Here is a 13,154-nt window from a genome sequence, read left to right as displayed (position 1 = left end):
TTCCCACCACATAGTTCAAAATCAATGGCAAATACGGTAGGCTTACTGAGTGCGTTCCTACTGCATCGTTTATTGTCATGCATCTGTAGGATTACCGTCTACGAATTTTTATTTTACAATCATTTGTATTCATTCATTTATTCATTCATTCATTTTCTAACCTGCCTTTTCCAATTCAGGGTCGTGAGTGGCTGGAACCTACCCCAGCAGCTCAGGCACAAGGAGGGAGTCAACCCTGAGCAGGACACTATTGCACCACAGGGTGTACTTACCCCCATGCCCACACTCACTCAGACTGGGAACATTTAGACATGCCGATTAACCGGTCATGCCCATCTTTGTACCCAGAGAAAACTCATGCAGACCTGGGGAGAAGGCACAAACTCTACATAGACAGTGGCTCTGGCTGGGAATTGATTATTTTTTTCTCATCAGCGTTAGAACAAAATGACCTTGAATGAAATGTCGTTATACTTGCTGTATAGTAACTACATAAACCAGTAACATAGTCATTTATTATTGTTATCAAGTATTATGTACCGAATCTAATTGTGTATGCTATACTTTTATAGGACTGGAAGCCAGTAGGTTTGTTTACACCAGCATCACCACAAACACATAAGTAATATGTTGCAGTAGGACGTTATGATGGCTATGACATCACTGGGCAATAGGAATTTTTCAGCTCCATTATAATCTTATAGGACCATAGTCATATATGTAGTCCCTCAGTGACCAAAACATCATTGTGCAGTGCATGACTGTAATTGAGCAACTACTAGTTATGTAAGCTGCCAAATAGAGGGAATAATGTATGCATTAGGCATCAGACAATATAGCCTCTATAAAATAAACTTATTTTTTCATAATTCAGATAGAAGATAGGTAAAAAGGGTTACTGTGTTTTATACATTTTATATATATGTATATATACTGTGTTATATGTATATACTGTGTTTTATATATATATACTGTGTTATATATATATATATTTTATTGTCTCTATAAAATAAACTTCCTTCTTTCATATTTCAGATGAAAGATAGGAAGGATTACTGTGTTTCTTGTTGGTTTATCCTGTGTGAGGTACCCTTACAGTACAGGGTGGACGTTGCAACTGAGCACCCTGAAGCCGGGGATGGTAAAACTCTTTACACATAGTTGAATGGGTTTTGCTTTTAATGCCCATTAAAAGCAGATGCTGCGCTTGCCAGTAAACAGTATTCTCATCTCCCACCCTTTCTACTATACATCAATATGTGATAAAGTTGTTTTGATGTAATTTCCTCAGGGGTGACTACCCTGCTTTCATAAATCCATCCTCATAATAACAGATTAAATTGTTTTCTTGGTATTCTGTCACAAGTCAATGCTACATTTCTTTTTTTTTTAATGTTGTTGTAGGCCTTTGAATTATATCCTGTGTAAACAGCAAGTGATTTCATAGTTGAATGTGCTTAAAATTTTTCAGATCAAAGTCCTCTCTTCCATGCTTTATAGGATGGAGTTCTGGAGCCCTAAGTATTTTTTCAGACATTTAGGCTAAACCAAACTGCCAGTGAGAACAGTCTGGATGTCTGTAAGCATCCCTGACCCTTAACATCTTGTAGATGAACAGTGGCCCTCCATGGGAGAAAACTGTTTAAATTCATTCATTTCTATAACAAATTATACACTTTGGATGTGTCTGATGTCTGAAGCTCTGAGATTCTATGGGTTTTAGTTAGCAAATCAGTATACCTGCATGACAGATTTTTATCAAAGACTTCTTTCTCTATTTTATTTCTTCCAGAACCTTTCACTTCTTTCAGAGGCCTCACAATACCTCTCAGAGGTTTAGACAATTTATATTTAAGAGACACACTCGAAGGGACCTTCAGTGATCATCCTTTCCTATTGCCATGTTAGGCTTCTCTCTGACTGCAGCAACTCATCTTCCTTAATCAAGGTTTATAGTATGATTATCTCAGCTTGGTGTATTCCATGCCTTTTGATCTTTTATCCTTATGTTGGTAGGGCAGTAGTATATGTACTTTTTATTTTTGTAATCTCATGTGTGTTTTGGAAATAGGTGTGAATTGTAAGCCATAAAAAGATTGCAGAAGAGGATTCATTTAATTTAGGATTAACTAGAAATATTTTTAATTGACTGTTTCCTGTGGAAAATTCTTCTCTAATATAAATGTAAGTAGTTCTAGATCATAGTTGAGTATTTTTATTGTTATTTGATGACTTGGAATTAGATCATCCATCAGTATTTTTTTTAGTAACTTCTAAATAGATACTGAGTAATACAAAGAAATGAAAAATTAAACATCTTGATTTTAAGGAGTGTGTGATTTAATTGAGGAAGTAGAAGATATGTTGTATATATTCTACAATAGTGCTTTAAATGAACAATAAAAACATCCAGTCAGTGGTAACTAACAAGGAGGGAAGAAAACCAGCCTGGATTATGGTGGTCAGAAAACACTTTGTGGGAAAAATAAGATTGGAGACAACATTAACTTGTATGGAGAGGAAAATCTTTTAAGTGAGTTAAGGACATGAGCAAAAACACGGTAAGACAGAGTTATCTGACAGAGCTATCTGTAGCTAGAAGAGATTAGCAAAAGATACCATTGAAAAAGTAGGTTGAGGTTAGGTGGTATAGGGTCTTGAATATTAGTGTTAAATTAATATTTATATATAAATAATAAAATGTTTAAGAAAGATCTCACATAATAGAAGCAGTATGTTAGGCAGTGCTGTGTAAGATGGTTAGATGGGAAGATGCTACATGCAGAGAGAACATCTAGAAGGCTAACAGAAATCTAGGTCATAGTCCTATAACCATCTGTATCAGATAAATAGTGGACAATGAAAATTTTTTAAATTGTTGTAAATATATACGTAACATAGCATTTACCATTTTAACCATTTTTAAGTACAATTCAGGGACATCAAGTATAATCTCAGTGTTGTGCAACCATCACCACTATCCAGTGCCAATACTTTCTTTGTCATCATTCCAAAAAGAAACTCATCATGGGATTTTAAAGGAAGGTTACCAGAGACAGACAGAAAACATGAAGAGAACATCGTAGCTGGTAATTATTAAGATAATGAGGATGGCCAGGCATGGTGGCTTACACCTGCAATCCCAGCATTTTGGGAGGCCGAGATGGGAGGATCACCTGAGGTCAGGAGTTTGAGGGCAGCCTGGCCAACATGAGGAAACCCTGTCTCTACTAAAAATACAAAAATTAGCCAGGCGTGGTGGCAGGTGCCTGTAATCCCAGCTACTCAGAAGGCTGAGGCAGGAAAATCGCTTGAGCCAGGAGGTGGAGGTTGCAGTGAACCGAGATCGCACCACTGCACTCCAGCCTGGGCAACAGAGCAAGACTCCATCTCAGAAAAAAAAAGAAAAGATAATGAGGGTAAGAAAAGTCAGAGGTTTTGAGATGACCTGAGAAACTGTGTTAGGAAGGGGTAGTCTGGTGGCCTGACCCTGGTGTCTGTACCTTTGATGGGGTCCACAGAACCACATGATGGCAGAGGGCCAGTTTATCAGATGGTTGTGAATACATACTAATAATGAGAAAGAAATTTGTGAGGTGAGTTGTAGTAGCACCAGGGAAAGATCCCTGCAAACTTAGTGTTTAGATAAGGCCAGAGGCAACTACTGTTCCTTTGTCTTCAGTTATTCAAATCTTTTCTTTTCTATCTGTACACAGGGTAGCACCTTTACATTTTAAAGTGCTTCAGCTCCTCAGACCTGATCTTTTGTCCTGAAAGGAAGAGACAGTCTTCAACTTTCTAGGAACTTTCTGTGGCTGCCTAATGCTCTTTCCCTACCTCCAGGCAAATTTGGGACTTAGCCCAAAGGCTTAGGTGCTGTCTGTTACACTTGGTAGTGTCAACCTTAAATGATGAAATTCAGAAAATATGATTAAGTTTAGAGTTTATTCGGTACAAAGCCTGGGGATAACCACTCGGGAAACACAGACTCCAAAGGAATGGGGACAGAGGTTCAAAGTAGAGAGGTTAAAGTTTTACTTATATAGGCAGAGGCAGAGTAGTTTAGCAGGGTTACAAATTTTTCCATACAAGGTCAGTACATACTGTATAGAGGACCCCTGACATAACTATCTCCATCCTAGAAAAAGACTCTTATTTTATATTTCACAGGACACATTGCCGACAAGGATAAGATCCTTTGCTTAATAAACAAATAAAAAATAAAGACTGTGTCCAACCAGATATGGACACAAACAGGCACCAGTTCCTACCAGTTCTCACCAGAGGACTCTGACTATAAAAGATTAGGTCTTCAGTAGCTCAAAAGGGCCGTCTTAACTGACACTGTTTTGTAGTTACTCATGATTAAGAGCTTGGCATCTGTTGCAGAAGGTTCTGCCACCTAAAATACTCTTCCTTGCAAGACCAACAGACCGCTCAACCCAGACTAGGACTCCTTTGGTCTTCTTCACTCTCCCTGGACTGGTTTGTCAACCCTTTTCTCCTGTCTCTTCTTCCTCTTGATATTAAATGTTACTTTGTTGTGGAATGTTTAACGTTATTTATATATTGCTGAAGTTTACTATTATATATGGTTTGCAATATTGACTGAGTTGTGAAGTGGTTTGAGCCTGTGTCCCCACAACTCTGACTACCAAATTAACAGGAAGTACTAAGGAAAATTGCCTTCTTGGGAATTCCATGTAGCTCATGGCTTTTGTGATTGGAATAACATTAATAAAAGCCTGGCATTGTGGAAAGACACAGACATGTGTGGATCTGGTTTTCTCTAACCTTGCATAGCTCATAGCACATACATTATAGCAATTTGATTGATTATAGCTTATTACAGCCCAAGGAAGACTGCTTTAACATTCTGTAAGGAGAGGTAGTGGCGTTGAAGGGAGTCTTATCTCTGGTACCTTTGGGTCTTTCCTAATCATCTACAGTACAAGAATACAGAGGAAAGTTAATCTGTAATCAGAGAAGCAGAAGTTGCAACTGCATGCTACGTGACTCAGGCCACATATTCTCATTTCTCTTAAGGTTCAAGTAATTTAAAGTTCCAACAGCTTTTAGTTTTAATTAATTTAATTTTACAGTAGGATCTGATGATTTCGTGGTGGAGACTTTATTAAATATCTGTCTCAGAGATCGTGTTTTGTTTTGTTTTTTTTAAAGAAAGGGGAAAGATCCTGATGTGACATCTTGACAGTTGATCCTTTAATAAACCTAATGGAAGTTAACAAAGGAAGATTATTTGGGGGCCGTGACGAGGAGTTCATTTTAAATGGATGAGTAAAATGAAGGTTAGTGCTTATGAGAGGGATTAGGACTAAAGATGTGCATTTCATAGTCATCTTTGTAGACTCATCAGTGTTTATAATTCTGAGCATCAATTATGTTTGGACAATATTGTAGATATAAATAGATAACAATAAGCTAATTTTATATATTTCTTTAATCACAATTTAAGTGCCTGTTTTGGGTCAAGATTTTGCCTAGGTGCTTTACTTGTGTTTGTGTTTTTATCTCCATTACAGCTATTCCTACAAATATTTCATAGATAAAGAAAGTGAAGCTCAGCTCAGTGAGGGCAAGTTACTTGCCAAAGAACAAGCAGGTAGATTGTGCAGAGTTGGGATCTGCCTGGCTCCAAAGCCTAGCCTTTTTATTTTATACTGCTTGTATTAATCAGCTAGGGCCACCATAACAGAATAATACAGACTGGGTGGCTAAAACAACAGAAACTTATTTTCTCACAGTTCTGGTGGCTGGAAGTCCAAGATCAAGGTGCTGGAAGTAGTTTCTGGTGAGGGCTCTTTTCTTTCCTTGCAGATGTCACTTTCTTGCTGTGTCCTCACGTAGCCTTTTGTCTGTGCTGGAGTACTCCTGATACCTCTTTCTCTTCTTATAGGGACACCAGCCCTATTTGATCAGGAGCCAACCCTTGTGGCCTCATTTAACCTTCCTTGCCTCCTTAAAGGTGCTGTCTTCCACTGTGGGCACATTGGGGGCTAGGGCGTCAATCTGTGAATTTTGGACAAAATTTAGTCCATAACACTGTGCTTTTTAAAATTTATTAAATTTGATAAATGTTTGAGTGAAAAACAGTAAAAAAGCCTGCAGTGGGATGTTAATTAGATAGTCTCTGGGGTATAAATTATTATAGCATTGATCTCCGACAGATCTCGGAAATCCTTAATGTCTAGTGAATTTAGAAGTAAGGAAAAAGTTTAAAATAAATGAAATGCTGTGGAAAAAAATGATACTGAGGTGTTTTTTGTGTTTAATATTGATCCTTTTTGAGAATATACTTGTTCGAGTGACTGATGACAGTAATGGGTGCCGTTAGGTGACTACTTATTGCTTAGTTTAATACCTAGTAGATATTTTACTTATATAATCTGTTTTAATCTTAGCACCAGCTCTAATGTGATATTGGCAGTATAATCTCCATTTTGAAGAAAGTGCTTATAGCATGTGCCTTAGAGCATAGGCTTTGGCTCCATTCCAATAGATTTCAAATCTCAGTTTGCCATTTGCTCTCTGCATTAGTATGGCCAAGTTACTTACCCTTTTTGTGCCCTAGTGTATCTGTTAATGTATTTCTGTATAACAATGACTCCAAAATTTAGTGGCTTGAATCAGTAAACATGTATCTTCTCTCACAGTTTCTGTGGGTCGAGAATTCAAGTGTGGTTTACCTGGGCAGTTCTGGTTCAAGGTCTCGGGAAGTTGTGGTCAAGAGGTTGGCAGGGGCTACAGGTATGTGAAAGCTTGACTGGGGCTCGAGGATCTTTTTCCAAGGTGGCTTACTCACATGGATGACAATTTAATGCTCGGTCTTGGTGACAGGCCTTAATTCCTTTTTCTGTGGGCTTCTTCAGATGGCTGCTTGAATGTTATCTTAACATGGTAACTGGCTTCTCCCAGAGCATGCAGTTCAAGAGAGATGGAAGCTGTCCTTTTAGCTCTAGAAGACAGATAGAATCACTCTGCCCTGTTTGTTAGGGGCAAGTCATTAATCTGGTCTGTATTCAAGGGTAGGAAAATTAGGCTCCATCTTTTTAAGGGAAATGTGTCAAACTTTGTAGGCATTTTTAAATCACCACACTTAGTTTCCCTGTTAAATGGAGATAATGATACGGACAAGAGGCAGGAGAGCGGAGTCCCTGGTGAGGGCTCCACCCTCAAGCCTGGACCCATGACCCTAAATTAGAACAGGCATTCCTGTTTTTGTGCCTGAATGTTACTTTCTGGTCTATCCTGCCCCCCTATCCTGTGCCCATATGAACCCCAGACCTCAGCTGGCAGAGGGACAAGTGGTTGAATGTCGAGAGGAGAAGAAGCGACTGAGTGTCTGAGACTATGGATAGATGCGGCTTAACTTCAGAAGGGAGCCCAGCTGGAGACAGCAGAGCTTCAGGGAAAGATTACCTTCCTCCTGCACCATCCCCTGTCTAGCTCTCCTTCCGCTGAGAGCCACCTTCCACTGCTTAATAAAAAATCCGCATTCACCATCCTTCAAATCCATGTGACCTGACTCTTCCTGGTTGCCAGACAAGGACCGGGGTACCAAGAGGGCAGGGTGTAAAAGGCTATCACACTGACTCTCCACTGAGCTGGTTAACACTTAGCCGTCCATGGATAGCAACTGCTAAAAGACCATTAATTGTAACATACCCCTAGACGCTACCTTGGGGGTGGAGCCCAAAAGTGCTCGCTCTGGCCCCAGCACCTGCTTGCCTGCATGCTCCTCCTCCCACAAGGGGTTTGAGTAAGCAAGCCACACCCCTGTTGCAAGTCCCACAGTGGGGCGCAGGGAATTCTTCCCTCTCAATAGCAGTAGTGTCTACTTCCTGAGGTTATTGTGGATATTGAAAGATACTAAAGAACTTGGAATAATGCCAGTCACATACTAAATATTTAATAAGTGCTAGGTCAGTGCTTCTCAACTGTTGCAGCCTGTAAGAGTTGCCTTGGAAGGCACATAGACCAATGGAACAGAATAGAGAGCCCAGAAATAAGGCTGCACACCTATGACTATATGGTCTTCAACAAAGCTGACAAAAACAAGCAATGGGGAAGAGACTCCTTATTCAATAAATGATGCTGGGATAGCTGGCTAGCCATATTCAGAAGACTGAAGCTGGACCCCTTCTTTACACCGTATACAAAATTCAGCTCAAGATGGATTACAGACTTAAATGTAAAACCCAAAACTATAAAAACCTGGAAGACAACCTAGGCAATACCATCTGGATGTAGGAAAGGGCAAAGGTTTCATGACAAAGACCAAAAACAATCACAACAAAAGCAAAAATTGACAACTGGGATCTAATTAAACTTAAGAGCTTCTGCACAGCAAAAGAAACTATCAACAGAGTAAACAGACAACCTATAGAATAGGAGAAAATATTTGCAAACTATGCATCTGACAAAGGTTTAATATCCAGCCTCTATAAGGAAGCTAAACAAATTTAGGAAAGAAAAACAACCCCATTAAAAAGTGGGCAAAGGACATGAACAGACACTTCTCAAAAGAAGACATACATGCAGCCAATAAGCATATGAAAAAAGCTCAACATCACTGATCATTAGAGAAATACAAATTGGAACCACAATGAGATATTATCTCACCAGTCAGGATGGCTATTACTAAGAAGTCAAAAATTAACAGATGCTGATGAGGTTGTAAAGAAAAGGGAATCCTTATACACTGTTGATGGGAGTGTAAATTTGTTCAACCATTGTGGAAAGTAGTGTGGCAATTCCTCAAAGACCTAAAGACAGAACTATCATTCAACCCAGCAAATCTCATTACTAGGTATATACCCAGAGCAATAGAAATCATTTTACCATAAAGACACATGCATGTGAATTTTCATTTGCAGCACTATTCACAATAGCAAAGACATGGAATCAACCTAAATGCCATCAATGACAGATTGGATAAAGAAAATATAATACATATACACCATGGAATATTATGCAGCCATAAAAAAGAACAAGAACATGTCTTTCATGGGAACATGGATGGAGCTAGAGGCTATTATCCTTAGCAAACTAACATCGAAACAGAAAACCAAATGCTGCTTGTTCTCACTTATAAGTGGGAGCTAAATGATAAGAACTTATGAACACAAAGAAGTAAACAACAGACACTAGGTCTACTTGAGGATGGAGTGTGAGTGGAGGGAGAGGAACAGTAAAGGTAACAGCTGGGTACTGGGCTTAATATCTGGGTGACTAAATAATCTGTACCAAAAAAAAAACCATGACATGAGTTTACCTATGTAACAAACCTTCACATGTACCCCCGAACCTAAAATAAAAGTTAAAAAAAAAATTTCTAGAAAGCTTAGAAAACTTTCAGAGATCAACTTTCAGAGATTTTATTGCAGGCCAATAAAATCATTAGGGGGATGGAACATGGGCTTCCATATTTTTAATGTAATCTCCCTTCCCAATGCTTATGTCCCAACTCATCCTCAGCCCTCACTCCTGTCCATTGCTTTCTTGGTTATAAAAAGAAAAGTCATTTTAGTGTGATTCTCCTCATTTTTTCTGCTTTTAAGCTTAAAATTGGTCTCCTTAGCCTTTCTCTATTCTAACTTCCCTTTCTTTTCGAATATTTACAAAAGAGTTACAGAAGAATAAGTGTGCTTACCTGCCTTATGATTAGAAAGGAGAAGGAAAAGGGAAAAAAGAAATGAATTCAACTTGGAGTTAAGAGGAAGATTTCAAAATCCTTGCCCAAATTAATTGAAACTGTGCTTGAACTTTCTCATCGTTGGCTAAGTTGATAACACAAGATGGGCTGGATTCGGTGGCTCACGCCTGTAATCCCAGCACTCTGGGAGGCTGAGGTGGGTGGATCACTTGATGCCAGGAGTTTGAGACCAGCCTGGCTGACATGGCAAGACCCCATCTCTACTAAAAATACAAAAATTAGCCAGGCCTGGTGGTGCACGCCTGTAATCCCAGCTACTCAGAAGGCTGAAGCACGGGAGTTATTTGAATCCGAGAGGTGGAGATTGCAATGAGCTGAGATTGCACCACTGCACTCCAGCCTGGGCAACAAAATGAGACTCCATCTTACAAAAAAGAAAAGAAAAAACCAGCAGACCCTGGCCAGGTGTGGTAGCTTATGACTATATAATTCCAGCATTTTGCGATGCCAAGGTAGGAGGATTGCTTTAGGCCAGTAGTTTGAGACCAGCCTGAACAACATAGTGAGACCCTGTCTCTACAAAAAAAGAAAAGAAAACCGGCAGATCCCTACCATACCCTTTGGCAGCCCTCAGTTCTTTCTCAGAATGAATAACTTTTAATTGGTTTAGCTATTGTTTTGGTATTTGCTTCCATTTGATAATATAGTGTTAAATCTTGATTGCTCACTTTCAGATATCTCATCACTTCTGCTTATAAAATAGATGGAATTCACTCTGTTGCCTTGCCACTTACTCCAAACAATTTCTTCGAATATTGATATATCACAAATTTAGTTAAATTTATAATTAATGTGTGAATAATTACGTAAGAGGGTATATGGTGTGTGAGATATTTTCTGACAATATTTGTCTTTTTTTTTTTACATACATGTATATATATTTTTTTCTTTTTTCCCCACTCATTCTGTCATTCAGGCTGGAGTGCAGTGGTGTGGGATTCCAGCTCACTGCAACCTCTGCTTACTGCAACCTCCACCTCCCGCACACCTATAACCATGATTCTGCTGCCTCAGCCTCCTAGGTATCTGGGATTACAGGTGTGCACCAACATACCTAGCTAATTTTTATATTTTTAGTAGAGACAGGGTTTCCCCATGTTGGCCAGGCTTGTCTTGAACTCCTGAACTCAAGTGATCTGCCCACCTCAGCCTCCCAAAGTGCTGGGATTACAGGTGTGAGCCACCATGCCCAGCCCACTTACATAATTTTCTATAAACTTGATGCAGTTTTTTTTTTTTTCCAAATTGCTCCAACAACTCCACTGTTAACTTAAAAAAAAAGTAATTTATCCATTCTTTATTTCTGTGGTGATTCCTCTTTGGGGCCCTTTTTATTTTCTGCTCCCACTTGTATTGGTTGTAGATGTCATCTTGAATTTTCCCTCACCAGTGTTTTTTCCTGGACCTGCTATTTCCTGGAGTCTTTTTTCTACCCATTATGTTAAACATTCCATGGGTTCCATCAGATTGGAAAGTATTTTCTTTTGATCTTGGAAATTTTCTTGTGTTATCCTTCCTATATTATAGTTTCTTTAAATGACTTATCACTGTCTTTTAATTCTGTTTTCTGTGAAATTTCCTCATTTATTTTCCTGCCAAACCTATTTTTTTAATTTTAGCTTTTCTATTTTTAATATCCAAAATAATCTCACTTTTGATTCCTCTTGCAAAACACCATACTCTTTTAGAACATTCTCGTCTTACTTTTCTGAGGATACTAACAATGGTTTGTTGTTACGTTGTACTTAAGTTTTCTTCTTTTCTCTGTATTATCTGTTTATGGGTTTTCTTTTTGTCTTTATTCAAACATAAAGTGATTCTTAGCTGTTTTGATCTGAGGATAACATTTTGTAAATGGGATCAGGGGCTTGTCTCTTGGCATACTTCACTTTGGAAGGATTAGATAGAAAAATGAGAAATTTAGCTGTGTCATTTGGGGATGCCCAAATGTCAGTATGTGAAGATCTTTTTCTCTTCAGCTACTGAGTTCATCAAGAGCAGGGCTTGGGGGAGGTGGGAAGTAGTATGCTTACTTCCCATCAGTAAGGAAATAATGACTCCTTATTTCTTAGCAGACTTTTCACTAATCTCACATTTTCAAATGTGTTTCTCGTGCTAGTCCTTAACTATCTCAGATATTCAAGAATCCTTTGATATTACCCGGAGACTAAGCCTCAGCACTCCTGTCTGAGCACATGCCTGCCTGGATGCAGGCGGTGTTGAAGGACTTGCCGAGCCTGACAGGCTTGTAAACAATCTGTTTCCAGTCACTTGCATCCACTTCCAAATGTCTTTAAAATCTCATACTCTTCTGTTTCCTCTGCTGTTCTTTTTTTTTTTTTTTTTTGCCGTTGGGTGCTTACACTTTTTAAGTATTATTTTACTGTCATTTCAGTGGAGCCTTGGGAAGACTAGATAAACACATATAATCGGTCTGTCTCTTTAAATGGAAATTCTCCCTTGCCTTTTTTTTTTACCCCCACAACCCATATTTGATTTTAAATGAGACAGAATTTTATAATAGCAGCTGTGCAAACAACATGTGAGAGTTAAGTGCCTGTGAATTTTATCAAATGCTTATGAGCATTTGATAATTTAGACAGTAACTGTTTTTCTTAAGAAAACCACCGTAATAATAGGGCCATTTTAATCAGCACAGTGGCTAATTGTAAATAAATCTAATTTAATAAGCTAATTTGTACCTAAGCCTTAGGGCTTTCTCTTTCTTCATTATATGAGGAACTCACTAGATACCTTGGAGTCAAGCCTGTCTTTTATCTACACTATCTTGATGCCATCTGTATTGTGTTGAGATTAGCTGAGTGGTTTCGACTTGCAAATTTTACAGTACCACATGAATAAACGTTGGCCAGATACTAGTTATGAATTGTCATTTCTTGGATAGTATGAACTCCATAACAAGCATATGATATATTTCCTTCCCTAGGGTAATTTCTTTTTACTGGGAAGCTTCTTTTCTTTTGAAATTACTCAACTTACACAAATATCTGTTTCTGCGAGAAACAGAATCATTATATTAAACTACAAAATTTAACCTTTCCATTTTCAGTGTGTATCTTTTGGGTTTTCTATAAGCAATGCCAAACATATACACTATTCTTTTTTTCTAAGTAAAGACTTAAACCCAAAGCAAAATTAAAGGTTTGATGTCTACGTATTTGCCCAAGGTACCAATCAATCAGCAGCACAAAGCCTCCACTGGAATAAATTGGAAATCTGGTGGCAGGAAACCCAGGTTTCCACAGATGACTTCATACATTTTGGCAGTGTTCCAATTGGACTGCTCTCATCCAGATCCATGTGACAGGAAGAACCTTATTTGTATCTATAACCACCCATGACCTCTGAGATTGTAGGTCCTGATATAACTAGATGATCTTTTCTTTACTGGGTACAC

At 38.5% G+C, this 13,154-nt stretch overlaps 1 protein-coding gene across 14 annotated transcripts in view, besides 1 other annotated feature; it reads left to right on the top strand.

Annotated features, from left to right (window-relative positions):
- FAM13A (family with sequence similarity 13 member A) overlaps nt 1–13,154 on the top strand; it is a 331,226-nt gene that overhangs the window by 42,926 nt on the left and 275,146 nt on the right. The window contains exons 1-2 of one of the 14 annotated variants that reach the window (XM_011531519.4): nt 4,352–4,485; nt 5,182–5,309. The exons of 11 other annotated variants lie outside the window; for them this stretch is intronic. The gene's annotated coding sequence lies outside the window, so the exon portion shown is untranslated. Of the gene's footprint in view, nt 1–4,351; nt 4,486–5,181; nt 5,310–13,154 lie in introns of those variants that run through there. 2 more of the 14 variants (XM_011531518.2, XM_047449483.1) reach the window with 2 other exon arrangements.
- Nucleotides 5,325–6,524: an enhancer, noted in NCBI's record as "BRD4-independent group 4 enhancer chr4:89928887-89930086 (GRCh37/hg19 assembly coordinates)". NCBI's record gives its function as "activates an origin of replication core promoter dependent on BRD2, P300/CBP, MED14 and CDK7 cofactors, and independent of BRD4, by STARR-seq in HCT116 cells {active_cell/tissue: HCT116}" and the evidence as "EXISTENCE:reporter gene assay evidence [ECO:0000049][PMID:35650434]".

This window comes from Homo sapiens, chromosome 4 (genome assembly GCF_000001405.40).
Source record: "Homo sapiens chromosome 4, GRCh38.p14 Primary Assembly".
NCBI lineage: Eukaryota > Metazoa > Chordata > Mammalia > Primates > Hominidae > Homo > Homo sapiens.
The sequence above is the reverse complement of the archived record's forward strand: the minus strand, read 5'-3'. Positions and strand labels throughout refer to the sequence as shown.